The sequence below is a fragment of the Homo sapiens genome, chromosome 22 (assembly GCF_000001405.40).
Source record: "Homo sapiens chromosome 22, GRCh38.p14 Primary Assembly".
In the NCBI taxonomy this organism is placed as follows: domain Eukaryota; kingdom Metazoa; phylum Chordata; class Mammalia; order Primates; family Hominidae; genus Homo; species Homo sapiens.
The window spans coordinates 39,465,914-39,493,044 of record NC_000022.11 but is presented as its reverse complement, the minus strand read 5'-3'; the positions used below and the strand labels follow the sequence as shown (position 1 = coordinate 39,493,044).

The following is a 27,131-nucleotide window of genomic DNA, read 5'->3' as shown; positions in this document are numbered from 1 at the left end:
GCCTGGTGGCACATGCCTGTAATCCCAGCTACTCAGGAGGCTGACACAGGAGAATCGCTTGGAGACAGGAGAATCGCTTGAACCCAGGAGGTGGAGATTGCAGGAGCTGAGATCGCGCCACTGCGCTCTAGCCTGGGCAACAGAGTGAGACTCTGTCTCAAAAAAAAAAAAAAGTGTCTGTTCCCACCGCCTGAGACTGTCTTTAGGACACACACAGGGGACCCCCAGGACAACTCCAGTGCCCACCCGGCCCAGAGGAAGCTCCTTGGAAGCCCTGACATCCCAAGGCTCCAGGTGCTGTCCAAGCACAAGTTCAAGGTTGGCTACATGGGAGGGAGATACCTGCTCCTGGGAGTCCAGAGAGTCCGGTGCTGAGAGTCCAGGTCCAGAATCTACAAGGCTGTGACCTTGGATGAGGCATTTAGAACCTGACAGGAAAAACTACTGAGGCAGGAGCACTTATTTTGATGCCCCAGAGCAGAATTGTAGAACCACCCCCTCTCTGCAGAGGCACCAAAGCCTTCATCCAGATCCCCAAAAGGGTCCCTGCCCACCTGCAGGAGGGTGGGTGCCCCTGGTCCTAGGAGCCTGGTTCACTTCTGCTTCCTTCCACCAGACCTCAGCCCAGCATCCTCCACTTCCCAGCTGCTTCCACCTGCGGCTGGGGGACACGTCATCCCTAAGTGAAGGTGCTCCCTGCAGCCCCCTCTCCCCACTGGCCATCCAGTCCTTGGGAAGTTCTTGCACCCCATGGATCCAGAAGTAAGGGTGTCTTTAGCAAGACCAGAGCCACCTGTTCCCACCCCTCCCTGCCCCAGAGCACCCACAAACCGGCCACACATGCACACAATTCAGACTTTGTAGCTGTTTTTATTATTAATATTATCTTCTCCTTTAAGCATCCCTTTAAGGGTGAAATGAAATCCAACCATTTACAGAGAAAATGATTTCAGAATGTACATATTGATTTTCCCTTACAAAAAAAATAATACTATTATTGATGTCCTTACATTATGCATTTCCCAGGGTCCTGCCTTCTGCTTGGACAAGTCCCGTCTCCCCACCCAGACTCTCCCTGTTGCCCCCAAAGATCTCCCATGCTGCCCCTGGGAACCGACGTGACCCATGGGTGGATAAGGCCAGCCATGCTTCCCGGATGCTTGGCATGGACAGGCCTCCTTGGGTCTAGGGGTCTCAGGGCCAGTTATTCCCGGGGAGAAAGGTGGACATGGGACATGGCAGCAGTGTGCCGGTGGTCACATTCAGCTTGGTTTCCCTTCATATTGAGGGAGTGGCCCTGGGTTCTTCTGCCCCCACCAAATTCCCAGTGTATGCTGTGATGATATGTGAAACTCTTCAATCCTGTGCCCTGGCCCCCAGCCCTCTGACAGCTGCCCTCTCCACCGATGGCCAGGCCTTCACTCCTGCTGCTGTGAACAGGACCTGCCCCACCAGGTCTGTGAGGAAGGCAGAGCCTGGCAGCTCTGAGCTGCTCCTATCTTCCTTCGCTTAGCCCTGAGCTGGTGCCCTGGAGGGGCATCCCATAGCAACTGAGGATGCCAGGGGCGTGGGGGTGGGAAAGCTGCCAAGGAGGGAGGCCCCAGGCCAGGGCCTGGGCATGATCAGGAGCCCTGAGACTCCCTGTCCATGGGGTGCAGCCTGGCCTAGATTGACCCAGAGCCATAGGGACCCCGAGTGTTTGAGCCACCTCTCAGCCCCAAGAGCAAACAGAAAGGAAGGCTGCTGTGACTTCAAAGGAGTTCCATGGGGGGCAGTCCCCTAGATGGGAGCAAAGTGGCTCAGAGCCCCTCAGCCCACTTCACGCTTGCCCACCAGCGGCTCCTCTGAGGCCAGCTCCCCACACCATGCCCTCACTGGGCACTTAACCCAGACAGTGCTGTCGCAAGAAGATGCCCTCCTCTCCTGGCCCATCAGGAAACCCCCAACCATAAGACATCTGGAGAAAGCCCCACTGGAGGTGGGGGGGAGGGGACAGGTGGGATGATGCGGCTGGGGCCGAGAGGGGCTGGGGAGGTAGTGGGCTCTCAGCTGCACAGCCCTCAGGTCAGGATTCTCATTCCTCAGACTGAAAGACAGACAGACAGACAGACCCTGCATCCCCTTTAGCTTTGCTTTCTAGGCTCCCCAAGGGCTTTCTGCCTCAGTCATTTTGGGGAGCTGCAGGAGGTGTGGCCACAGGCCCGAGGAAGAGGCCAGGCCTGGGCCTGGCCTCTTCCATCCATACACAAGCATGTATTTACAGGGACACAGCAATACAGACATGTACAAATACACACCAAGCATGCACCCATGCCCATAAATATACACACACACACGCACAAACATGAGCCATTCCACAGGCCAACTCTGCAAACCGGCATCATTGGGTAGCGTCTGAGGGGCCGAGGGGAGGGGGTGTTTCCCCTTCCCACAGAGCTGCAAGCTCCTCACTGCCCCCAGCCCTGGGCTGCACAGTGAGGGAAACAGGAGCAAGCTGTTCCGGAAACTCTGACAATGAGAGCTGGATCCGACGACTGAGTTATTGCTGCTCCCTCCCCCTCTCCCAGAGATGCTACTGGTCCCCCATATCCATTCTCTTCTCCTCCATCAATAAGATAACTCCCAAGGTGAGGCCAGGCACATGGCGGCCCCGCTGAAGACTACACTTCCCAGGTTCCCTAGCAGCTGCTTGTGGCCATGTGACTGAGTCCCAGCCAATGAGAGGCCAGCAGAGGTGAGCCTGCCAATTCTGGCTCATGCCTTTAGCAAAAAGTGGGTGTGCCCTCTTGTCTATTTCTGCTTCCCCCAGGCTTGGATGCACACAGGAGGGTGGGCGCTGGAGCAGCCGCTGTGTACCCAGAATTGGAAGGTGCGTATGAAGAAACGCAGAGCTGCCCTACCAGCTCTGGGCCATCTCAATCTAGACTAATTAGAAACAAGCTTCCATCTTGCTTAAACCACTGTATTTCAGGGTCTCCTAATCACAGCAGCTCAGAATCAACTCCAACAAAGACATCCCCACCAAGGCAAGCTATGAGGAACAGGAAGCATACAACTGGCCTTATTGTCCCTTTTTGGGCCCAAGACAGCCTCATGGCCCCTTTCTGGCCCCCAGCCAGCCTGCCCCAAGGAAGGGCACAACAGTGACTGCACCTGGGACAGTGGACAGCTGGGACTGGGTGTCAGAAGGAAGGGGTGATGGGGAGGGAGAGACGGATCCGTGCAGAGGACTCATGTCAGTCTTCTCCTCCCCACTTCCCCCTCAAGGCCACACCTACAACTGGACTCTTGGCCTTGCAAGGACTGAGTGCACAGTCCACAAGACAGCAATGTGAAAGGGAGAAGGAACGTCAACGCCGGGTTTAGAACCAAAAGGAAAGCTCCTCAGGGTTCTCCAGGCCCCTGTGTTGGCTCACGACAGCCTGAGGGGTGCACAGAGACAGACTCAGGCACCAGCATCCCAGGGCAGCCAGGTCCTGTCCTTTGCGGCAGGGGGTGGAGTTCTGTCTCCATCTGGCCCAGCACTTCTGACTACACTGCAAAGCATCCCTCAGCACCTCCTCTTGGTAGGATGTGGCTTTTTCATCTCTTCCCTACGAGGTGTCCACGCTTCCTCCTGGACCCAAATGCATCTACTTACAGAGCCCTGGGTCCTCCTGGCAGGCCGGTCTCCCACACGGAGCCCAAGGCCCAGGGATGCCAAATGGTGGGCTTTTTCCCGGCCTGGCCACCCCCCAGAGGCTGCCTGGTGAGATCCTGCAGGCTCTCTTCCCCAATCCTGCCTACCCTCCCCCGCTACCCAGGGACCACCACGCACACTCCAGTGGCACCTCCTGGCCACAGCAGTCTTGGCAGTCATAAGGGCCACCCAGACGTCACGGCCTGCGCCCTCTCCCAACAGGAGGGATATTTTCTGAGCTCAAAGGCCTGACCCTTGATTCACAAGGGCTTCAGTAGGGAAACCCTACCCCCACCCCCACTCCCCACCCACTCCTGGTCCCCTCAAGAACCAAGGAGCCGGCAGGAGGCAGGGAGATAGCGCTAGGGGCCGCCGCCACCCCCGCCCTGTCACAAACCCTATCAGATCATGCAGCTCTAGACTTCCGCCTCGTCCAGTTTGCCCCGGGCGGGCGGCCTTCCCTCGGGACCCCTGTGGCGCCACCCGCCCGCCGCCGTGCTCCTGGGCTCCTGGTAGGGGTTGTCCAGCAGGTAGTGGAACCGGTCGTAGTTCTTCAGCAGGTACTTGGGCGCATACATGTGCTCGCTGGGGTCTGCAGGCGGGTACTCCTGCTGCGTGCCGTCGAACCAGCCCCCGGTGCGGATCAGGCCGCGGATGTAGTTCAGGTCCCGCTTGTCCTCGTAGTCACCCCAGCGTGGGAAGTCGCCATTCTGGGCGGACACGAGCTTGAAGTAGATGCCCTCGGGCGTGAAGCACCAGGAGCAGTGCCAGCCGGCGAAGTGCAGGGGGCTGCCCAGCGACCACTGCACCAGGATGTGGCCGGTGCGGTTCTCATACTGTCTGAAGTTGGGCATGGTGTAGTACTGGCGGCGGCGCAGGCGGATGCCGTCCAGCCCATACACTGCCTGCAGCATGTCCACCGTGCAGCCTGACACCACCTCCAGGGTGCCCGGCTGCTTCCAGAAGAAGCCGTAGAGCGACTTGCGCATGTGGAAGGCGAAGGGCTCGGTCCAGCCATCGTAGAGCTTGAGGAAAAGGACGCCGTCACGGGCCGGGATCTCGTCCGCATCGTCAATGATGAAGACGTCGTCGGGCCGCAGGTTGCGCAGCCGCGAGACGCCGTCCTGGGTGAGGAAGGTGCGCAGGTAGTCGTCGGCGATCCAGCCGTCCTGCCGGCCGCCGGGCGGGAAGTGGTCCAGGAAGACATAGAGCACCTTGTGGCGGATGTACTCGAAGGTGCCATTGGTCAGCATCTCCCGGAACTTGAGCGGCCGCGGCTCCCCATAAGCCGTGAAGTTGGACTCGCACACCACAAAGGCGTCCACCACGTCGCCCAGCTCGTGGAAGCGCACGTCCAGCAGGTCGAACTCGTGGTTGACGTTGATGGCGTTGATGACGCGGCGCGGCACCTCCCTGGGCACCAGCCGCTCCTTGGTGGGCAGGTTGGAGTACTGCACCACAGTGGGCACGCCGCAGCTGGGTCCGTGCCAGCCGGGCAGGCACACGCACTCCACCCACTTGCGCCGGGCGCCTCGGCCCCCCGTGCGCTCCCGGGCGCTCAGGAGGTACCGGGGTGGCCGCCGGGCCGAGGAGCCGTTGGCCCCCTCAGGCTTCTCCTCCGGCCGTCCCGGGGGCGGCCTCTCCAGCATCTTGGTGCCGGGTTTGAAGCAGACGCCGCCGGCCTTGGTGCGCACGAAATACTCGGTGGTGTCCTCGGGCAGCACCAAGTCCACCCGGTGGAGCTCCTCGGCCGCCTTGCTGGGCGGCAGCGGCTGCAGCAGGGGCGAGTGGGAGTAGAGTGGGGTACGCAGCAGGTCAGGGCCTCCTGGCTCGGGGCTGGCCTGGGGCGTGACCGGGGCATTGTTCCAGAAAAAGCTGGACACCAGGTTAGGGCTGAGGGAGGCCAGTTCTCGGGGGAAGGTGACATAGGACAGGGTCTTGAAGAAGTGCAGGAAGGAGATGAGGCACAGGCCGGCCATACAGAACATGAGAAAGAGCTTGTAGCGTCTCATCTTCATCCTGCGGGAGAGAGAGAGACAGGAGACTCATCAGGGCAGCCCAGGCTCCTTTCCTAGGAAGGGGACCTAGGAGGCCTCTGCTGCCACCTTGCTGGACAATGTGGTGGCCAGCACCTGCTGCCCCTGCATGGAGTGACCTCCTGCCCCCAAGAGTCAACTCGCGGTACCAAGGCCCCTGAAAGCCCCAGCACTGAGGACACCGCCGTGCTCCCATAGCCCTTCCCTGAGATCCCCAGGCCACCACCCTGCCCCCTCTGCAGCCTGCTTCTCCGCCTGGCCCACCCCACCCTGACTGTGCGGCTGCACTGCTAGGCTTGGCTCCAGGAGTAACATGCGCCTTGGGAAAAGCTCAACTCGCAGTACAGACTCCGCCCCAGGACAGAACGGGGAGAGCAGGCTGTAGGCTGCCCTCCTGGGTCCTGTCCCTCCCCTCCTATCTTCTTTTTTATGGACATACTGACAAACCTTTTGAATATTTTTTCACTGAAAAAACTCACAGGTCTCAAGGGAAAACACTTAATTCTAACATATTTAATGAATAAAATTAGGCCAGGCGTGGTGGCTCACGCCTGTAATCCCAACACCTTCAGAGGCTGAGGCAGGAGGATCACTTGAGCCCAGGAGTTTGAGACCAGCTTGGACAACATAGTGAGACCCCATCTCTACAGAAAATTTAAAAATTAGCCAGGTGTGGTGCCATGTGCTTGTGGTCCCAGCTACTTAGGAGGCTGAGGTGGGAGGATCACTTGAGACCTCGAGGTTGAGGCTGCAGTGAGCCATGATTGCACCACTGCGCCCCAGCCTGGACAACAGACTGAGACCCTATCTCAAAAACAAAATAAAATAAAAGTTCCCCTTCATTATTCCATGCCCTTTACTAATCTCCAGGCATAAAAATTTGAGGTCGGCCAGTGCAGTGGCTCACGCCTATAATCCCAGCACTTTGGGAGGCCGAGGTGGGCAGATCACAAGGTCAGGAGTTCGAGACCAGCCTGGCCAACATGGTGAAACCCTGTCTCTACTAAAAATACAAAAGTTAGCTGAGTGTAGTGGCGCATGCCTATAATCCCAGCTATACCGGCTGAGGCAGGAGAATTACTTGAACCCAGGGGGCGGAAGTTGCAGTGAGCCATGATCACGCCATTGCACTCCAGAACCTGGGTGACAAGAGCAAGACTCCATCTAAAAAAAAAAAAAAAAAAATTTGAGGTCTATCTCTGGCTTTATATGCAATTTTTCTATTCTTGATTTAATATTTTTCATAAATACTACCATATTGGACACTAAGTCTAACCAAGTTGTTTTCCTCAATCAATGATAGATTTAAAAGATTTTGGTATCAGTAGAAATAAATGTACCAGTTCCTTTTAAATCCCACATATTACATGGCTATTGTGAATAAATCACTCTGTATTCATGACTCATGATGTAACCATTTGCTATTCATTTATACAGTTTAATTTATCAATCAGTTTATGGCTGTGGAATGGAGATGCTTGTATATTCTCATTCTCCAATTTAAATTTTTTTTGTGTGTTTTTGTTTGTTTGTTTGTTTTTAAGACAGAGTCTTGCTCTGTCGCCCAGGCTGAAGTGCAGTGGTGCGATCTCTGCTCACTGCAGCCCCTGCCTCCCAGGTTCAAGGAATTCTCACCTCAGCCTCCCAAGTAGCTGGGATTACAGGCACACACCACCACACCCAGCTAATTTTTGTATTTGTAGTAGAGATGGGGTTTCGCCATGTTGGCTAGGCAGGTCTCGAACTCCTGACCTCAGGTGATCCGCCCACCTCGACCTCCCAAAGTGCTGAGATTACAGGCATGAGCCACCATGCCTGGCCTAAATAAACTTTTAATTTTAGAATATTTGTAGATTATCAGAAAAGGTGCAAAGACAGCACAGAGGCTTCCTCACACACTTCACCCTGTTGCTCCCAGTTTATACCACCATGGTACATTTGTCACAACTAGGAAACGGACATCAGAATGTCACCATCAGCCAAACCCCATGCTGGATTTGGATCCCTCGTTTTATGAATGAGCCGTGCAGCCACAGAGCACCTCCGACCGTAGCCATCCAGCTCATTTCACCCTTGAGTCTAGGCAGGTGGGCAGGCGAGCCAGGAGTTTACATCCATTTGACCAGTGAAGATGCTGGGTGGGGCCAAGTGAGACCAGTGACCTGTCCGGGGGGAACCCACTGAGTCACAGAAAAGGCTGAGACAGAAACCTTGCCTTTGGCATCTGGCACTGTCCCACCTAGATATTCTTAAAATGTTCCCATCTGTGGCTTCTCTTTATTTTTGATTCTTTCTCTGGGTCATGCTCTCCCCCTCACTTTTTTTTTGAGACAGGGTCTCACTCTGTCACCCAGGCTGAAGTGCAGTGGCTAGATCCTGGCTCGCTGCAACTTCCATCTACCAGGTTCAAGCAATTCTCTTGCCTCAGCCTCCCAAGTAGCTGGAATTACAGGCGTGTGCCACCATGCCCTGATAACTTTTGTATTTTTAGTGCAGATGTGGTTTCACTACGTTGGCCAGGCTGGCCTTGAACTCCTGACCTCAAGTGATCTGCCCGCCTCAGCTTCTGAAAGTGCTGGGATTACAGGCATGAACCACCATGGCCAGCCTCCCTACTTTTTAAGGACAGCAAGGTAGGGTGGAAAGATAGGAATTTGGGTTAGGCGTGGTGGCTCACGCCTGTAATCCCAGCACTTTGGGAAGCTGAGGCAGGTGGATCACCAGAGGTCAGGAGTTTGAGACCAGCCTGGCCAACATTGTGAAACCCTGTCACTACTAAAAATACAAAAATTAGCTAGTCATGGTGGTGGGCACCTGTAATCCCAGCTACTAGGGAGGCTGAGGCAGGAGAATCGCTTGAACCAGGGACGTGGGGGTTGCAGTGAGCCGAGATCGCACCACTGTACTCCAACCTGGGCAACAGAGTGAGACTCCGTCTCAAAAAACAACAAACAAACAAACAAAAAAAAACAAGGCTCCTAATCATTCTGAACCTTAGTTTCTCCATCTGTGAAATGGGCACAGAGTTCCTGGCATGCAGCATGCTCAATAAGCTCTTGTTCCCTTCAATGCTCAAGGCTGGATGCCCGCAGTTTAATTTTCTACAAGCCACATGGTCGTAAGGCACAGAATCACAACACGATTGATCTAGAAATTTTAAGGACCATCTCCTCCAACTCTTTCATTTTATAGAGGAGGAAACCAGGACCTAGGGGCCTTCAGGGACCTGCCCAAAGTCACAACAGAGCTGGAGTGTGAACCGGGCAGCTGGGCTCCTGCACCAGGTGCCCCTCATGACCTCAGCTTGCGAGGAGTCCTGAGCAGGCTGGTAAGAAGCAGTGGAGCTGCTGATCCCGACAATCAGGGCAGCGTTTGCCCCATTCGAGCTCAGATATCCCTCCTCCAGTAAACGCCTGCCCCCCTGGAGCTGTCCACACGGAGTGGGCACAGCTGACTGCGGGCAGGTAGAACAATCTGGGGTAGGGGCCTGACCTCTGCTAAATGTCCCAGGGCAGAGCTGGGGCTGTTCGCCACTGGAGTTTGGAAGGAGGGGCTGCTCCTTGATAACATTTTGAAGTGGGTCTTCTGCACTTCATTCTCCATTTTGGATTCCAGCCCTTGTCTGGCAAAGTGAGACCAGTTGGGCTGGACCAGCTGGGTGAGCAAAAGGGGCTAGGAGTGCTGTGGCCAGGACCAGACACAAGGCAATACTGCAGCCGGGGTTAGCATGGCGGAAGCTTCCAGAGCAACCTACTCTTGGGGTTTCAGGACTTGGAAAGGCAGCCTGGATCCTTCTGGTGGGCTATTTTTCTTTTCTTTTTTTTTTTAATTTTTTAATTTTTTTGAGACGGAGTTTTGCTCTTGTTGCCCAGGCTGGAGTGCAATGGTGCGATCTCAGCTCACCACAACCTCTGCCTCAAGCAATTCTCCCGCCTTAGCCTCCTGAGTAGCTGGGACTACAGACATGCACCACTACACCGGCTAATTTTGTATCTTTAGTAGAGGTGGGGTTTCACCATGTTGGTCAGGCTCGTCTCGAACTCCTGACCTCAGGTGATCTGCCCGCCTTGGCCTCCCAGAGTGCTGGGATTACAGGTGTGGGCCACTGTGCCTAGCCTTAGTGGGCTATTTTTCTGTACTTGGGACCTGCCTCTGAGGGGGACACTCTAAGTTACACAACTGGTGTAAGCTATGTGGCAGGCATGGCCTGGGGCTGCCATTCAGACTCTAAATCCCCTGGCAGCATGAACAAAGGCTTTAGCAAAGCAAGGTAAGAGGAACTCAGAGAGGCAAGGAAACAGCCTGCTTGGCGTAAAGGGCCTCCGTGGACCTGCTGAGGTCAGATTGACCCAGCTGCCCCTTGGCTGGCTTTCAGGATCTAGTTACTCATAGCCAGCTGTGCCCTTCTGAGCACGGACTCACCAGTGCTTGGGAGCTCCCCTCTCAGTCACTGGAGCCTTCAGGACAGGGCCCCTTAATAAGGCCTCAGTCTGGGTTGCTGCTGAGAATCAAGGATCTGGGCATGTTTCCCTCATCACTCAGGCTGCTAGGAGGCTCAGAAGCACACAGTGGTCAGCCAGAGCATGTCAACAGCACCTCACAGACAGCATTTTCTTGGACTCCTTCACTTGCAGCTGCCCGCATAGTTTCAATCCTTTTCAGCTCAATTCCTTTTTGTCTTTTCATTTTTTTATTGAGACAGCATATAAATAAAATGGAATAAATAAGCACTGGCACTCAGGGTCTCATTTAAATCTCACAGGCACTCTGGTAGGTTATTTAAACTGCCCTGTTTTAACAGATGGAGAAAACGAGACTCAGAAAGATGGCAAGACTTTCCCCAAAGGACATCATTAAGGAGGTGGCTGAGTCAGGACTTGAACGTAAGTTCTGGTTCTCAAGCCAGTGCCTCTCTCCCTCATGACAGCTGAGACCACCAGATCCCTCTGTAGTGCAGGTGGCCCAGCTGTGGGCTAAAGCCATGGAACCAAACTGGGCCCCAGTTGGTGGCATTTCAGCTTCCATTACAAAGCTTCATCAAAGCTGGGCACAGTGGCTCATGCCTCTGGAATCTCTGCACTTTGGGAGGCCAAGGTGGGCAGATTGCTTGAGTCCGGGAGTTCAAGACCAGCTTGGGCAACATGGCTAAACCCCGTCTCTACAAAAAAAAAAAAAAAAAAAATTAGCAGTGCCTACTTTCTAGCAGTGCCAGGCATGCAGAACTACTATGTGCCTGTAGTTCTAGCTACTTGGGAAGCTGAGGTGGGAAGACTGCTTGAGCCCTGCAGGTCAAGGCTGCAGTGAGCTGAGAGATCGCAATTCTGCACTCCAGCCTGGGCAGGGGAGTGAGACTCTTATCTCAAAAGCAAAAATAACAAAGCATTGACAAACCATCAGGTGTAACAGTAAAACTATCACTGAGGCTGACATGCCAGACACTGTCCTAAGCTTGTTACACACGTGACTGTACTGAATCCTCCCAACACGAAGCAGGTACCCTTGTATAAGGAAACCGAGGCCAGGGAGATGATGTCGCTTGCACAGCATTGCACAATAGAAGGATCATACTGGATCCTATAGGGTCAATCACGGGGTTGTATCCAGTGGTAAAGCTGTCCTGAGCCCCTTCCAGCTGCCAAGTTCAACCCAAGTAGAGTGACAGAGCCCCTGAGGAGTCCACCTGTGACCAGTGAAGACAACCCAGTGGATGGTGCAGCCCTGGGGCATTTGATCCATACAACATGCCACAGGGTGCTCACCCAACCCACGTCACTCATTCACTCAGCAACGATTTTGCCAGAGCCCCGTGTGCCAGGCACCTCGGTGGGTACTGGGAACATGGGGAGACAGGACGGACCAAAATCCCTGCCCTCAGGGAACCTGCTCAGCACCCAACAGGGTAGGGAGCCTGCGTAAACTACAAACACACTAGTCAGCTCAGAAAACTGCGCGCCCAAAGAGGCTGTGCTCTGGAGAAAGACAAAGCGGGTAACGGGCAGGAGCGAGTGCGTCATTATGTCCAGTGATGAATGGAGTGGGCAGGGCAGGCTCACCGAGGAGGCGACGTGAGCAGACTCCACGCAGGAGAGGGCGCCAGGGAAGAATGTTCCAGGCAGAAGGCACAACCAGTGCCCTGGCAGGAGTGTATGTGCGCCAGTGAAGAACAGCAAGGCGGGTGGGACGGAGCAAGTGAGGGGACATGGGGGGCAGGGAACAAACCCAGATCACAGGGCCTGGAGGCATGGTTCGAAGTGTGGCTTTCACTGGAGGATTCAGAGAAGGGAGGCCATGGCCTGACCTTGGTGTGAATGGCTCACTTTGGCTGCTCTGCTGAGAATGAATGGGCACTTCAAGGGCAGGGCAGGGGAAGCCAGGAGGCCACACTGAACTGCCCAGGTGAGTCAGGGTGGCTTCCACCAGGTTGTAGGGTGTAGAGTGTGCTCAGATTCTGCTGGATTTGCTGAAGAGCTGGATGTGAGCAAGGCAGCACACTGGGTGGCCCCAGGCACTGGAAGAATGGACCAGCCCTTGACTGGGGTGGAGGAGGCTGGCCCTATCTGGCAGACCTGGGGCTTGCAGCCAGCATCTGTCTCTGCAGGGCCTAGCCCTAACCACTACTTCTCCTCCTGCAGACACCAACAGTGAGGCTGGGCGTGAAGGACATGGCCAAGGTCAAACACTGGCTAGCAGCAGGTCCTGGGCTAACCTTTGTCTCTAGATCCAAACCTCAGGTCCTCTCTGCAGCATGCTGTCTAGAAGCTTCACCTGAGGGATGGGCGGGGTGGGATATGCTTTGTCTGTGGTCCCCCTGTGGCCTCAAAGCACTGTGGGGGACATCGTCCAGCCCACTGTCCCACTCCCACCTACTTCCCTGGATGTACGTGGCTTGAGGTCCTCCAGCAGCTCAGGAAGCCAGGAGGGTCACTGTGGTTAGGACCTACCTGGGGAATAAGGTTAACTGAGCGAGGGCTTAGGGCCTTCCCTGGGCTGGGCGCCCTCTGTGACCCAGGCAGGCAGCTCTCTGAGGACAAAACCCCTCTCCAGCTCCTTCCCACCACCAAGGCTAATCTCTGTTAGCACAAATGCCATACTCTGGCTCTTACTCAGTTCGTTAAAATTCACCTAGTATTTCTCAGATGCCTGCTCTGTGCCAAGATAGCCTCCCTGGAGCCAAAGCACCTGCCTCTGCCCCAAGCCAGAGCCCATCCCGAACTCTCCCAACCTCCCCCAGCTCCTCATCATCATCAATGTTCCTATAGTCACTATGAACAGAGCAGGTCACCTGACCTCTCTCAGCCTCAACTCCTCCATGTATAAAATGGGTATCATTATCTCTGCCCTGCTTATTTCAAGTAAGAATCAGAGAGAACTATGCACGGCCCCAGCCCCAGTCAACACTAGGCTCATTTTCCCCTAGATGTCTGTCTTCCCAGCTGGCATATAAGCTCCCTAGAGCAGGGAATGTACACAGCAGGTGCTCAATGAGATCACCCCGCACTGCCCTGGGCCTCCACAATGCCCTCACCATCACTTCCATGTGCTCGGACTCCCCAGTTCAAATCCCAGCTCTGCCACTCCTATCTGTGTGGCCTTGTGCAGGTTAAGCACTTTTCTGTACCTCTGTTTTCCCATCGATGAGATGCCTAGCACACAGTAAGCACTCAATGATAAGTGCTAGCTCTTCTATTATTATTCCCCAGCCTGGCAGAGAAGAGAAAGAGTGAGCCTTTGGGTGGGGACACACCAGAAGCAGAGGCTTGGAGGTGAGTCCCTGGCAGGGCCTAAGCCTAGGTGGGTGCTGTCCTATCTCAGGGCAACAGGGAGCAAAACCTAAACCTGCTGTGGGGAGGGGCCAGGGGCTGGGAAGCCACGCCTCCTGAGACTCCAAGAAAAGGGGGGCTTGAGGCTCCACCCCCACCCCGCTGCCAGACACCCCGTAAGTTGTGCCCAGCCCCAGGGGCCTGTGACTTTTTAAATTTTTTTAGACAGGGTTTTGTCTTTCTTTGTTACCCAGGCAGGCTGGAGTACAGTGGGGTGGTCAAGGTTCACTGCAGCCACAAACTCCTGGGTTCAAGTGATCCTCCCACCTCAGCCTCCTAAGTAGCTGGGACTACAGGTGTGTGCCACCACTCGGCTGATTTTTTAAACATTTTTTTGTAGAGAGGAGGTCTCCCTACATTGCCAAGCTGGTCTCGACCTCCTGGGCTCAAGTGATACCTCGGCCCCCCAGTGTTGGGATTGCAAGCGTGGGCCACCGCCTCTGGCCGGTCCTGGGTCTGTTGGGATAGGTGGTAGAGCATGGGCCAGGTGCTTCCTGGCAGCCAGGTGATCCTGGAAGAGGGAGGCTGAGGCTGACCCAGGATGGCAGCAGGCAGGCCTCAGGCAGTGGCCATGGCCTGGAGGGTCTGAGCTGGACAGATTTCCTTCTTTCCCTCCCTCTTCCCACTTCTTGTGCCATTTTTCTCTAGCTCTGCTTGGAAGCCTGACGGGCTGTGAGGGAGGGAAGCTGATGAGCCCAAACTCCATGACCCAGCCATGACCTCATAGTCAGGACTCAGGTGGAGCCCAGCCAGGGGCTTCTGGCCAGGGAGAAGGGAGGTGCTCTCTGGAGGCCACTGGCTGTGATGGTGGGAGCTGGCCAGGCAGGTAGCAGCCTCCCAGGTGCAGACTCACACTGACAGCTGTCGCTTGGTGAAGGGCGGCTCCTGTGGAGCTCTCCGTGGTCCTGAGCTTGCCCGTGCTGGCCAGAGTCCTAGCTCAGTCCCCAGGGTGCCCTTGGCTGGCCTCACCCTGGCCCCTGCCACCCACCTCCGTGGTTCAGACGGCTCATGTCTTAACAGCCGGTTCCCCTGTCCACCACCCTCTGGCCCCTTCTCCGCCTGCCCCTCAACACCTGATGTCTGGCGTCTTCAGCTGGGGGACAGCCACTGGGCACTCCTCCAACTGGGAGAAGGGGCCAGCTGTCACATGTCCAGCAGTAAAGCAGGCCCAACACCCAGTGGGCACTCAGGGCATCCCTGTAATGTCCATGAGGGGCATTTTGGAGGATGCCAGAAACAACCTCAGTCTCTACTTCTGGGCAGGAAGTAGCCCATCCACTGCCCCCAGCCCTGGTACACCTTGGGGTGGACCCGCACTACCTCTCCAGGAGTTAGTTCAACTGTACGAAAGGGCTTCGCGCTGAAGCCCGTCTCCCTGTGCTCACCTTCCACCCGGCCTGGTCCTGCCCCATGTGACCTAAGGGCTCTGCCACCTCCAAAAAGAAGGCAGGAGGCACATCTTTGCAGCAATCCCTGCCATGTACAGCAGCTCCTGGGGCACAAGGTAGGCCAGTGGCCACAATGGCCAGATCCGAACACTGCTTGTGGCCTTGGCAAGTCACTCTGCCTCCCCGTGCCTCAGTTTCCCCCTCCACGATACGGAGGTATAACCGTTTCTGTCTCACAGGGTTGTTGTGAGAGTTGAGTGAGTTAATCCCCGCAAAAAGCTAGGGACCATGCCTAAGCACACAACAGATGCTCAGGACACGCCGGCTCCACTGTTACTGGAAGTCTGGAGGATTTGGTTTGAATCCCAGTGCCATGACTTACTTGCTGTGTGCCCTTTGGCAAGTTACTTAGCTTCTCTGGTCCTCAGTCTTCTCCGATCTAAAAGAAAGATGTCACCCTCTGTTTTGCAGTCCTGTGGGAGACCTGGCTGAGCCACGGTGTCAAAGCATTCTGCATGGAGCCTGGCCATTGGCAGAGGTTCTATAAATGCATGGTTTTTTTTTTTTTTCTTTCCTTCCATTTGGGTTTCCCGCTGGACGACCAAATACAGATGACCCCCTGAATATGCCAGGCCTTGCTCCTGACCGGCTTTATTTCCTTTAAGAAAGGTAACAAAGACACCTTTGTTAAGGTACAAAAGGAGGTGGGCCAATTGCGGGGCTGCTTCACCCTGACTGGCACCCTCAGCCTGTAGGGCCTTTCTCAGTAACTCACCAGGCATTCAGGACCTAGGCCAGAATCTGCGGAATCCGGCCCAGCCGAGGCCTGCAGACTCCTCTCCTGGGTCCAGAGGGCCTGCAAGTAAGAATTTGGTCCAAGGCTTCACCCCAGGCCAGTGCCTCTGCATGTCCACTCCCACGGGCCGCCCATTCCAATCCCTTTGGGCTGCTAGAAGTTCTTCCTTCTGTTGACCTTCATCAGTTTCCCTGGAGCTTCTGCTACTGGTTCCTTCCCTGGGGTATGGCAGAGGGAGTCGGCATCTCAGGAGTCAGAAGACAGTGAGCACCTCCCCGGACTCTGAAACTAAATGCAGCTTGAGGTTTCAGGATCCCACATGGGGAGACAGGTAGAGGCGGTGGCTGCAGAACATGGCCGATCCTGGAGTCCCGGCGAGACTGAAGAAACAACTGCTGCTCTGCTGTCCTCCCCTCTCATCATCTGACTCACTCCTTTGACTGACAACCATCCACAGGGACGCCTACACAAAGTGGTCACTCTGCAGTCGACGTATCATCCCAGCTACTGGTGGTCATCGGGGACGCAGATATGTGTGTCTCCATTTTGCAGATGAGGACATGGAGGCCTCAAGAGGTTAAGTGACTTGCTCAGCCACACACAGCTGATGGGAATGAAACAGACGGAAACGGAGACTCCCCAAGCTGACAGGCGGACTACAGATCTGGGGGTTCTGCTCCAGGCTCAACACAAGTGGCCTGGGCGAGGGAGGGCCTGGTAGACCATGACACCCAGCATCGAGGAATTCTGCTTCCCCAGCAGGCTCAGAAGGAAGAAGTCTGCTTCAGGGGCCAGGCCTGGTCAAAGACTCCATCTTCCCTGGATGGCCAGAGTCAAATCCTTGCAAATCCCGTTCACCATGGAGCAGGTGAGACAGCTTCTGCTGTGCCCACCCATGGATGAAGAAACTAGGCCAACAGAGGAGAGACAGAGCTACAAGGGGAGCAGTTCTTAGATTAGGCAGGCAGGGTTCAGGAAAGACAGGGTGCCCAGGCCACCAGAATACCCACGAGAGTCTGGGCCTCATGGAGTCAGCCCCACTCTCTGCTGGCTCAGCTCCAGGGTGGAGGCCTTGCCAAAGGCTCAGCCCAAGACCCATCCCAAGAGCCCTTTCCATGGCAACCCCACCCCTCCCCCACCTCCAGTCCCTGTGCACCACTCTCTCCCCTCCAAACCCATCCCCATCAGCTGATCCCAGCTCCCTGCAGGCTGCCTGAGGACTTTCCCACGGAGTGGCCGGCAAGTGCCTGGGAAAGTTGGTTCCCAAAGCTGGGATCTACCCCTGCTAGGACTCCACCCCTCCTGCACTGGTCACTGGTCCATTCAGGACATCAGCTCCTCATCCCCAGAGGCTCATTCCATAATGTTTTTGTTTTTGTTTTTTAGAGACGAGACCTATGTTACCCAGGCTGTATGTGAATTCCTGGACTCAAGCAATCCTCCCATCTCAGCCTCGTGAGTAGTTGGGACAAGTCTCACACCACCATACCCAGCTTAATTTAATTTGAATTTTAATAGCTGCATGCTCTAGTGGTTCCTACGTTAGACTGTGCAGTTTAGACTGAACGGAGAGGGCAGGAGGCAGGGAGTCAACCGGGTCCATCGTGCCAGCACCGCTGGAGAGATGGGGCTGCACTGAGGGAGGACCCTCATGGGGACAGTCACAGAGCTGGAGCAAGGGAGCATCCCAGGGCGCCAAGCCTGAGAGACGGCCCGTGATGAAGGGGAGGGCCAGGGGCGGGGCAGTGGTGAGCTGATGCCAAGGTCTTGGCTGAGAGAGGCTCATAGAGCATTGGTTAACTACAGGAGGGAGGGATGCAGCTCTGGGGGGCTGCCTGACACCAGGGTGCAGGGGCATTAGGCAGGTGATTGGCAGAAGGAGACCTCGGGAGGGGAGGTGGGCTAAAGGTGGGCCTCAGGGCCCGATACACAGATGTACAGACACATCCCATGGACTGGTCCCATGGGCACTGAGGACAGCTCTTTCCCAGCCAGGTCCCTGGAACTCCCCTCCAGGTGCCCCAGGACCTGAGAGAGAGGTGGAGTGAAGGGGGAGAGAAAACAAAGCCCAGGGACTCGCCCCCAAAAAACACAATCAAGAAGATGCTCCCAGCTTTTCAATTTCAGACACTGAGCTCCTCGCAAGATTTTGTTGGAAGGAAAGCTTCTACAGTTAAAAAAAAAAAAAAAAAAAAAAGCCTGGCAAGCCCTGCTGTGAATTCATCCCTCACTCCACACCAGCAGGGAGATGGAGGCCCTGAGGAGGGGGTGATTGGTGAAGGCCGCACCACAAGCAGAACCCAGGCCTCTCTGACTCCAGGAAGGCAGGGGCGCTGGGCTGGGGCTTTTCCATCTCGGATCCTCAGTCCCCAGTCCAGGCAGAGAGGGACCTTATCAGGGAGCAGAGGGCGGATGTCCCAGCCGGGGCTAGTGGTGCATATGCACATTTCAGGAGGGCCCGAGGGCTCTGACTGCCTCTTACACACAAAGCCTGGAATGGAGAGATGTAAACTTGGCCTGGGGGAACAGGCCAGGCCAGAAGTGAGCAGTGGCTCCTGCCCGAAGCACCCAGAGCAAATATTCAGTGAATGTTTGGGATTAGCCAGAGGAATGAGTACTGCTGGTGGCATTTCAGGCACAGGGCTCTTTATCTCTCAGGGAGAGGAAAAGGGTCCCCTCTGCAGGGCCACACATGACCACAGACCTGCTGTGTGCAGAGCCAGGAGGCAGTGGGAGCCCGTGAGGGCTGGGCCAGTGTGCAGGGAAGGTGCTTGGGGCTGTGAGAGGGTTGGGGGTGATGTGAAGACTGTAGCACTACTGGCCTCGCTTCATTCCACCCCCACAGGCACACAGGGCCTCAAACTCGCAGCTGGCAAGTGACAGCAGCAGAGTCCACACCCACCTGCGGCCTTGGGGCTTCTCAGAGTTTCAGGGGCAAAGTCCAGGCTGCTGCCTTCAGCCTTGCCCAAGGCAAGGGTCCCTCTCACCCCCACTGCCATCAGGACCCCATGGGCCTGCCATTTTCAGGTCACAGGGCTCTCCAGCTCTGGTAGATGATCGGATTCGCTGCCCAGGAAAGCTGCATCTGCCCATCCTGCCAACCTCCTAAGCCCCTCACCAGCCTGAAACCATGTGAGCACCCCGGTGGCACACTGCAAGGCCAGGCTGAAATTATGTTTCCCAGAGCCCAGAGTTCCCTGCAAGGCCAAGGGTACCCAGGGCAGCCCTTCCCACCACTACCCAACTCCAACAGGAACGGGTCACCCTGGACAGTGCGCCGTGTCTGGGTCTCCTGCAGCTTAAAGGAGGCTCAAGGTCCAAAAAGTCAGGAAAACTCCAAGGTGAGGCCCAGACTCCAGGAGGCTCCGGAGGCCCTGGATCCTGACCCACACTGCAGAACCTTGCCCTGATCTACCCTGGAGCTGGCACTCCACATCCATCTGCCCCCTGCCCACACACCTCCATCCAGGCTGCCCTCCTCATCCATCCCCCCTCCTCCCCTTAACTTCCATCCCCCCACCCCCATTATTTTCCCCTAGCCCCGATCACCCGGAACTTGGAGACAAGCAAGCGAGGGGTCCCATGCCACCTGCACCACCTCCTTGGGGAGTTTGTTTGCTGCTGTCTGCCTGATCCTGGCCTCCAGCTAGCCTGGCCTGGCCACAGGCCCAGGGATCCCCAAGCCCCTGTGTCCACAGCTTCCCCTTGCCAGCCTGTAATCATGTAGGGGGTGCTATAGTCTGAAAAATGTGTCCCCCAACGTTCACATGTAGGAAATTTAATCCCCAGTGCAGTGGTGTTGAGGTGTGGACTTTAAGAGGTGATTAGGCCGTGAGGGCTCCACCCTCATGGAGGAATTTATGCTGCTATTGTAGGAGTGGGTTAGTTATTGTTCCTGATAACAGCATGGGCTCAAAGTGGGTTAGTTATCGTGTTCCTGATAACTGCATGCGGTCAGCCCTGCCCGTCTCCATGTGTGGATACTTCTGCCCTTCTGCCATGGGATGACGCAGCATGAGGGCCCTCGCCATATGCTAGCTCCTCGACCCTGGACTTCCCAGCCTCCAGATCCGTGAGAAAGTTCTGCTGTTTACAGACCACCCAGTCTCAGGTATTCTGTGGTAGCAGCACACACAGGACTAAGGAGGGGAATGAGAGGACAGCACATCTGAGGCCTCCCCGAGAGCCGCCCTCTGACGGGGCTGTGCTCAGTATCTTAGCTGTTCTCTAATCTCGTGTGGACATCCGCCTCCCACTGCTATTTCACAGAGGAGAAAACCGAAGTTCAGTGAGTCAAACTGACAAGCCCTGGCCCTCCCTGTGAGTGACATGCATCCAACCCTTCCCTGTGGCCCACACTCCCCAAGACTCCAGCCCGCATTGCAGCTGCCCGACCCCTGCCTGGGCCCCTCCCAGCCATTGCCGCCTCCTTCCCTCACCGGCCCATACCTGCCTTGAGGCACAGTGTCTAGTCCCCTCTGCCTGGCTTTCAAGGCTCTATGGCAGCAGTTTCCTCCCTAGAGGCTGAGCCCAGGTGTCAGTTAGATGACTGCAGGAGGAACTAACCTTGTCCCGCCAGATGCTGGCCCTGCCCTCCATCTGGGCTGGTTTCCTGGCTCCACCTCTTTCCAGCTAGGTCACCTCACCTCTCCAGCCTCAGTCTCCTCCTTTGTGAAACAGGTAACCAGGCAGCAGTGAGGGGCAGCCCCACCCTCCCAGAGCCACTCCTAGGTGCCAGGTGCTTGAGGAGGTAGGGACACTGTGGTTTTACAGGTGGAGAGCCTGTCAGGGCCAAGCGCTCAGTAAAAAGCAGGTCCATCTCTTGTGAGCCTCGCCTTGCTCCCTCTCTGTGTGGGAGGGTTCCCGAGAACTGCACCCCGACTCCCAGAGGGGCTACTGGACATTCTCAGTGGGACGAGGATAGGGAACCAAGGAACACTATATGCATGGAAGAGCTCAGAAATACACTCTCGGCACGGCGGGACCCCGAGTCTCTGACAAAGTACCGGGCAGGGACAGGGCGGGGGTCAGGGAGCCTGAACCCACACTGCCTCTCCTGCAAGGGGGCTCAGGAGTCCATAGCCTTTTGGAGGGAGTTGGGTCTCTCTGGGAGTGGGGGCAGAGGCTGGATTCTGCCCACAGGAGACGGCCAGACAGCTATTGTACTGCTGGCTCCAAGCCCAAGGGTCCACCCTTAGCAAGGCATTCATTCCTCAGTGTGCAGAACACCCCTCTTGAGGGTGAAGACAGAAATCACACCCTACCCTGGAAGGAGGCTGAGCCCAGAGCTTTGAGCATTCCTGCTGCCGGGGAGCTTTATACAAAAAGCCCCACCCTCCAATACCTCGCCCTCTAGGGACTCCTCCCTCTTCCTAGCCCTTGCCTTCCCTGGGGGGCTGCCCTCAGCCCAGCCTGCTCAGGAGTTCCCCCACGCTATCCCCTAAGCCTGGAGAGGAATTTCCTGTTTGCTTGTCTTGCTCAGGGTGGTGGCTGACCACAGAGAACAGTGCAATAGCATCCAGTGAAAGAATGAGTGAATGAGTACCGTGTCGCTCTGCCCCTCTGCCCCTGTGCCTCGTGTCTCTGTGTGTCAGATTGTGTGGCACCTGCCCTGGAGGGCTGCCGAAAGGCCCTCATGGGAAGAATAGAACCGATGCCCTGTGTGGTGTGGGGGACAGGGGGACTCCCAAGGGCACAGGGCCTTGCCATCTCTGCAGAGGAAGGCCGGCAAGGACTGATGGCCGGAAGGGCGGGGGTAGGAGTGGGGGCTGGGAGGGCGAAGGAAGGAGGAACGGAGAGGAGGTTGGAGTGGGGTGAGGGCAGTGGGAAGGGGCTGCTCAAGCCTGTAATTATTAATTGGGCAGATGATTAATTATTAACAAAGCTTCAGGTTAGAGGAAGGAAGGAACACAGCTTCTTCTAATTCATCAATAGGCCCCTGTTGCCAGCCCCTCCGCAAAGGCTTAAGAGCTTCCGTGCTTACGGGACCCACTGAGGCCAATGGGATAAATCCTCGAGACCCCCATACTTCGGGCTTTCAGCTCCCTACCCACCTCCCAGCCCACTCAGCCTTACAGGCCCGAACAAACTGCCCCAGACCATCTGGACAAGAGAAGGGAAGGAGCCAGCTCTGCCCTGCCCTGGCTTCCAAGGTCAGAATGCCCCTGCCCCCACCCCCAGGGCTCCCAGAGATGTGGTGCCTCCCAGGCAGAGGGGCAGCCAGAGCCTTTGGTCTGAGTGGGGGTGGCCATCGTCAGATAACAAAGGAGGCCCAGGAAAAGCCGGGCAGGAGGGGGCTGGGCTGAGTGCTTCTGCCTCTGTGAGAGGGCTCTCCTGGACCCTGGGCTGTCCTGGGTGCCCACCCCCAATCTCTCAGGAGTCAGCGTGGGGCGAGGGCTGCTTTGGGGCCATAGCTCTCTGGAGTCTAGACTCAAAAGGGGCTGGATTCAAATCCTGCCCTTTCCAAACCCTCCTCCGTGATCTTGGGCAGGTCACTGAATACCCTGGGCCTCGGTGCCTCTATCAGCAATGTGAGGCCATCCCAACCCCGAGGGGATTAAAACGGATAACATCCAGAGTCTTGACACAGGCCAGTCCTCTGAGCTGGGTGCGGCCTCACCACATGCCCGGCAGAGGGGCAGGAAAGCCTGCAGGCCCCGTTCCCCCAAATGCTCCCAGGATGGACCTCTCTCTGCCTCCTCTGCCACCCCGAGGTCCTCACTAGCTTCCCTCCTGCCTCTGCAGCAGCCAGAGTCACCGCAAATTCCCCATCAGGCCACATCTCCCTGCTCAAGCCCTCCCATGGCCCTGTCACACTAAGAATTAAAACCCCAACTCCTCTGCGTGCCATGGACCCTGGCCATCTGATGCCTGCGTTTCTGCTGACCTTGCCTCCCTTGTCCCCCAGGCTCCAGCCACACTCCCCACCTTCCTGTCTCCTACACTCTTCAGGCATGGCCCCATTCCAGGGTCCTCGCACTGGCTGATCCCTCCGCCTGGAACGCCCTTCCTCAGGTCCCTGCATGCTCTGATGCCACTCGTCAGACAGGGGCCCCTGAGCAGCTGGCTGAAGTGCTGCCCCCGCCCGCAAGCCCTCTCTCCAGGCTGTCCCCCCAGCGCTCATCCCTGCAGAGGCGATCCCACTTTGTTGTTTACGTCTGCCCCGCCCTCACCCTGCTGGCGAGGCCACAGGAGAGCAGGGTCACCACAGGCCTCGGTCGCCACTGTTCCCCACCCCCCAGGACAAAGTCAGCCCTGGAGCATGCACTGCAGGGACAGCTGCTGGATGACATGGAACAGTCCAAAGACACAGGAGCCCAGATGAGAAGCAGCAACAGACTTGGAGGGACAAATATCCTCCGGTTTGGGGGTGCAGGCCCAGCCTGCAAGTTCCCACACCTGACAGGCGCTCCTCCCCTGCCCTGTGGCCCCAGAGAAAGCCCCTGCTCTGCTGAGTTCAGCGCCGCCCTGCCCTGCAGCCCCGGCAGTGCCAGCCCCTCCCGCCCAGGCTCGCCATCCTCTGGTGACAACGTACAAAGGGCCACTTCAGTACACAGCCTCAGCTCTATCTCCAGCCTGGCGGGCTGAGCGGAGCGGGGGTACGGGGAAATGGAAGGGAGGGTGCTCCCCGCCCTTCCCCATCCTTTGGGGTCTTCTCTAGCATTGGGGACTTTGTCCCAGGCATTGTGCCCCGGGTGGCAGTGGAGGGGTTGTTGGCTGGCAGAGGCTCTCATGCACCAGGTGGCAGGTGGAGGTCTGGTCCAAGAGTCCTAGGCAGTGGGGAGCGGATGCTGTTCCCCCGGCACCTACCCATGTGTACAGGGCAGCAGGTGGTGGGCACACTTGCATGCTCAGGTGGCCCAGTGCCAGACGGAGTGAGGGACAGCGAGGTGCAGACCTGGCAGGAATGATCTGGGCTGGGCAGCAAGGAGGGCAGTGGGCATGGGCTTTGGGTCACACCAGGCCTGGCTTTCTGGCCTGAGACCCTCTGTGGCAAACGAGGTGAAACTCAAATCGCTGTCCCAACAACCTGAGCTAGTAACCTGTGACTCAAGCCTGGCACCAAGGGACTGACGCTCCGATGACGTTCCCAACACTCCCCCTTCTGGGCCCCTCCCCACCCATCACCAAGGCTTGTCCGTCCCACTGCCCGCACTTCCCAAATCTGGGCCCCTCCCCACCCACCTGCCCCCTTCTGGGCCCCTCCCCACACCACCAAGGCAGTCAGTCCCACTGCCCGCACTTCCCAAATCTCCCAACCCCAAGCCTACCGCTCACCGGAATGGCAGCAGCTTCCTCAATGGGCCCCCAACCCGGCCCCCATGAGCCAAGCGAAAGCCACATCTGATGCTGCCCCTCCCAGCTTGGAACCGCTGCCCTCAGGAGAAAGTCCAAGTCCCTCAAGGAGGCACAGAAGTTTCTGTGTAATCTCACCCTTCAATCTCCGTGCCTGTTCCTGGAGGATTCGGCTGAGCTGCACTTCTCCAGGCCTCCCTGACCCCAGCCTACTCCCCAGAACCCCTTGTCCCACACAAGGGCTGTGCTGTCTGATGCCCCTGGGTCCCCAGCCTCAAGCACTGAGCCCCACACAAAAAAGGTGCTCACCCTGAGTTTGTTGAATGAATAAATGACCACGCCAAATCCACACACCCGCACCTTCCAGTCAATGCTGCAGGGCTCTCAGGCCTGTCTGGGGCTCACACAAGTGGCCCATGGTCCTAGTCCTGCCTGCTTTGCCAACTTGGGCTTGTCACACCCCAATGAGGCAGCTTAGCTACGTGAATCCTAAGGGCCCCTTCCAATGGGATAGCGGTGGCAGAGGGGAGATACAGGAAATGACTGGAGCCTTCATGGCCAGGAGGAGCTATGGGAAGACGGTGGGAAAGGAAGAGCGGCTCAGTAGTTAGGATCCTCCCTGCCAGCGTCTGAACCACAGCTCACGGCTGTGTGTTCACTGCCTCATGCCCTGGTGCTGCAGGTGCGCTGCTGAGTGAGGGAATGGGCTTGAATGTGGCTCTGCCACCGTGGGGACCTGGGGAGGTGACAAGGCCACACCTGCCTGCAGCCTGCAGCTCCTGGGCAGGAGGGTGGCAGCGTTGCCCCTGGGATCTGGGAACCTGAGCATCAGTTAGCTTCCTGCTGGGGGTGGTCCTGACAGAGCAAGCACACAGCTGGCTGGGGCTCTGGGCACCCAGGGAGCCCGCCCTCAGCTGGAACAAGGCACCCTGTCTCTTTTCCTCTCCCAATTACTCTCTGTCCACCTCTGCTTGGAGAGGGGATGTGCCCAGGGTCAGGAACCTAGGAGGCTATGAGGGGGTCCTCATCCCAGCCCAGCTCAGCAGAGCTGCCAATGTGCCCACTGCTGCTCATCAAGGTGAGGGTGGCGGCCTCCGAGCTCCATGTTCTGGAAGACCCACATTCTAGCTTTGCTGCTCCAGGTTTCCTCCTCTAAGTTTCAGATTCTAGGTTCTCTGTCTGCATCTGAAGGTTCTACCTCTTTTTTTTTTTTTTTTTTTTGAGACTGAGCCGAGATTGCCATTGCACTCTAGCCTGGGCGACAGATCCAGACTCCATCTGAAAGAAACGAAACGAAACGAAACAAAACGAAACAGATCCAGACTCTGTCTGAAAGAAAAGAAACGAAATGAAACAAAACGAAACGAAACGAAAAGAAAAGAAAAGAAAAAAGAAGGAAGCAAGCAAGCTAGCTCTCCATCACAGGTCCCGTGTCGTGTCCATGTGTCTCCTCTTTGGGACACTGTACTTCGTATTCTCTTCGCGGTGCCCAGCAGCAGGGCTCCTGCCCACTCCTACCTTCTTAGCCTCATCACTCTTTGGGGCTCTTGAGAGCAGCGGAACCAAAGAGATGGGGCTGCCTGCACTCCCAAAGCGAGAAGGCCCAGTCCAGCTTTCCTAGGCCTGGGATGCCCCCAGGGCCGCAGAGGGGATCCCAAAGCACACCCCAGCCAGGCAGAAATTCCCTTCCCCACCCCTTTCCCATCTCTCCAGGATGCTGCCCCAACCCCCTGCCCTTCACCCTCTGCACCAGCTCTCACTGCAATGGCTCCACAAGACAGGTGCTTCACAAGGGCAAAGACTTCATGTCAGGGCCTGGCACCTGCTTGGTGGGCACTCTGTCAACACTCGCTGAATTAACCAGGAATGCACAAGGTGCCTAGAGGACTGCGCAGCCTAAGAGACGCTAGTTTATATGTGATGGAGATGTTCATGCTGTGTGCATACACATGTAGCATGCACAAAACACATGCAAGCAAACTGCAAGCCGCCCACCCTGATGTCAGCAGAGCTGTGCCCCTGCCACCTAGCTCAGTCACCGGCGCACAATAGGCACTTAGGGAGTAATTGCTGAAAGAACGGATGGACAGATGAGTGCTCTGTACCGGGCACAAAGTGTACTGGGTACAGAGTCAGAAGCTGGGAGAGAAACAGAAACTGACCCCACCCAGGATCAAGGCTCAGATGCAATGACAAATAACGCTACCACTAGGCAGAACTTGACCCGTGTGTAGGAGGATAGTGGGAAAAGCACTTAGAGGCCGGGGTCAGTAACAACATCAGCCAACAGGGATGACCACGCCCGCTGGGCTTCAGCATGGAGGTGAAACAAGCAGCCCTGGCTCCTGCCCTGCGGGCACCTCTGTCTGGGAGGGGCAGGAGGGGCTTCCTAAGGAGAGGGGGCTCTGGCAGCAGCTGGGCTGGAAGGGGCAGGCTCTTCAGGAGGGCAGGGGACCAGTATCAGCAAAGGCCGGGAAGTAGGAAGGTGAGGCTCACATACGGAGTATGACAATTGCCCAAGAGGCTGGAGCATGGGGGACGCGGGGGAAGAAAGAGGCTGGACCAGCCCCGGAGGAAGGAGGTCAGAGGTGTTTGGACAAAATTCTCAGAGCACTGCATTCCAGGAGCTCCAGGCCTGGGCTCCCATGACCCAATTTCCAGGAATTAGAGCAACACAGGCCTCCTGCCGCAGATCCACTTGCTCTGGTAGAAGTGCCTGGTGCTAGGCAAGCCCCACGGTGAGACCCCACAGCCGGTCACTGCCCGCAAGCGGTGGCCCCAGAATCAGACCAAGCAGGAGCCGGCTGTCTCCGGGGCTCCTTTTCTTCCCGCTGTTAGAATACAACTGCATTTTTCTGGTTTAAAGGTTTCTCATCCATTCTAGAACATCAGGAAAGCACAGAGAAAGAAGCAGGGCAGTGTCCCCACCATCCTGCCACCCCTGGGCCTGGCTGGCTTCTGACTGGGCCTTCCTCGCAGGCCTTTCTCTTCCCCATGCACCTTTTGCTGGAACCAACATCAACATGGGTTTCTGTCACCTTCGGGCAGTGCGCATTTTGCTCTATCAGGCTTTTTTCTTTTCTTTTTTTTTTTTTTTTTAAGACGGAGTCTCACTCT

The 27,131-nt window shown here is 56.6% G+C and overlaps 1 protein-coding gene and 1 long non-coding RNA gene across 3 annotated transcripts in view, besides 8 other annotated features; one reads left to right on the top strand and one right to left on the bottom strand.

Moving 5' to 3' along the window:
• Positions 1-850: 850 nt before the first annotated feature.
• The window catches only part of MGAT3 (beta-1,4-mannosyl-glycoprotein 4-beta-N-acetylglucosaminyltransferase), a 35,183-nt gene continuing 8,902 nt past the window's right edge, over positions 851-27,131 (bottom strand). The window contains exon 2 of one of the 2 annotated variants that reach the window (NM_002409.5): positions 851-5,698. In NM_002409.5, the coding sequence (NP_002400.3) occupies positions 4,096-5,697 (1,602 nt within the window). In that variant the 5' untranslated portion in view covers position 5,698 and the 3' untranslated portion in view covers positions 851-4,095. Of the gene's footprint in view, positions 5,822-27,131 lie in introns of those variants that run through there. The other variant, NM_001098270.2, reaches the window with a different exon arrangement.
• Positions 2,567-2,861: an enhancer, noted in NCBI's record as "tiled region #8945; HepG2 Activating non-DNase unmatched - State 8:EnhW, and K562 Activating DNase unmatched - State 5:Enh". NCBI's record gives its function as "activates a minimal TATA promoter and a strong SV40 promoter by Sharpr-MPRA in HepG2 and K562 cells {active_cell/tissue: HepG2 | K562}" and the evidence as "EXISTENCE:reporter gene assay evidence [ECO:0000049][PMID:27701403]".
• Positions 14,098-14,599: an enhancer, noted in NCBI's record as "H3K4me1 hESC enhancer chr22:39874451-39874952 (GRCh37/hg19 assembly coordinates)". NCBI's record gives its function as "activates a minimal SCP1, AML or CMV promoter by ChIP-STARR-seq in primed H9 embryonic stem cells {active_cell/tissue: H9 hESC(primed)}" and the evidence as "EXISTENCE:reporter gene assay evidence [ECO:0000049][PMID:30033119]".
• On the top strand, positions 16,223-17,238 carry MGAT3-AS1 (MGAT3 antisense RNA 1). Its single transcript, NR_126469.1, has 2 exons — positions 16,223-16,587; positions 17,106-17,238. It is a non-coding gene; the product is annotated as an MGAT3 antisense RNA 1 (long non-coding RNA).
• Positions 18,237-19,166: an enhancer, noted in NCBI's record as "H3K27ac-H3K4me1 hESC enhancer chr22:39869884-39870813 (GRCh37/hg19 assembly coordinates)". NCBI's record gives its function as "activates a minimal SCP1, AML or CMV promoter by ChIP-STARR-seq in naive H9 embryonic stem cells {active_cell/tissue: H9 hESC(naive)}" and the evidence as "EXISTENCE:reporter gene assay evidence [ECO:0000049][PMID:30033119]".
• Positions 19,332-19,689: a silencer, noted in NCBI's record as "fragment chr22:39869361-39869718 (GRCh37/hg19 assembly coordinates)". NCBI's record gives its function as "represses an EF-1alpha promoter that drives an FKBP-Casp9 reporter gene in an ReSE screen in phorbol 12-myristate 13-acetate-treated (for megakaryocytic differentiation) K562 erythroleukemia cells {active_cell/tissue: K562(+PMA)}" and the evidence as "EXISTENCE:reporter gene assay evidence [ECO:0000049][PMID:32094911]".
• Positions 21,958-22,887: an enhancer, noted in NCBI's record as "H3K27ac-H3K4me1 hESC enhancer chr22:39866163-39867092 (GRCh37/hg19 assembly coordinates)". NCBI's record gives its function as "activates a minimal SCP1, AML or CMV promoter by ChIP-STARR-seq in naive H9 embryonic stem cells {active_cell/tissue: H9 hESC(naive)}" and the evidence as "EXISTENCE:reporter gene assay evidence [ECO:0000049][PMID:30033119]".
• Positions 25,220-25,489: an enhancer, noted in NCBI's record as "active region_19055". NCBI's record gives its function as "activates an Ori minimal core promoter by ATAC-STARR-seq in GM12878 lymphoblastoid cells {active_cell/tissue: GM12878}" and the evidence as "EXISTENCE:reporter gene assay evidence [ECO:0000049][PMID:35858748]".
• Positions 25,902-25,951: an enhancer, noted in NCBI's record as "active region_19054". NCBI's record gives its function as "activates an Ori minimal core promoter by ATAC-STARR-seq in GM12878 lymphoblastoid cells {active_cell/tissue: GM12878}" and the evidence as "EXISTENCE:reporter gene assay evidence [ECO:0000049][PMID:35858748]".
• Positions 25,962-26,011: an enhancer, noted in NCBI's record as "active region_19053". NCBI's record gives its function as "activates an Ori minimal core promoter by ATAC-STARR-seq in GM12878 lymphoblastoid cells {active_cell/tissue: GM12878}" and the evidence as "EXISTENCE:reporter gene assay evidence [ECO:0000049][PMID:35858748]".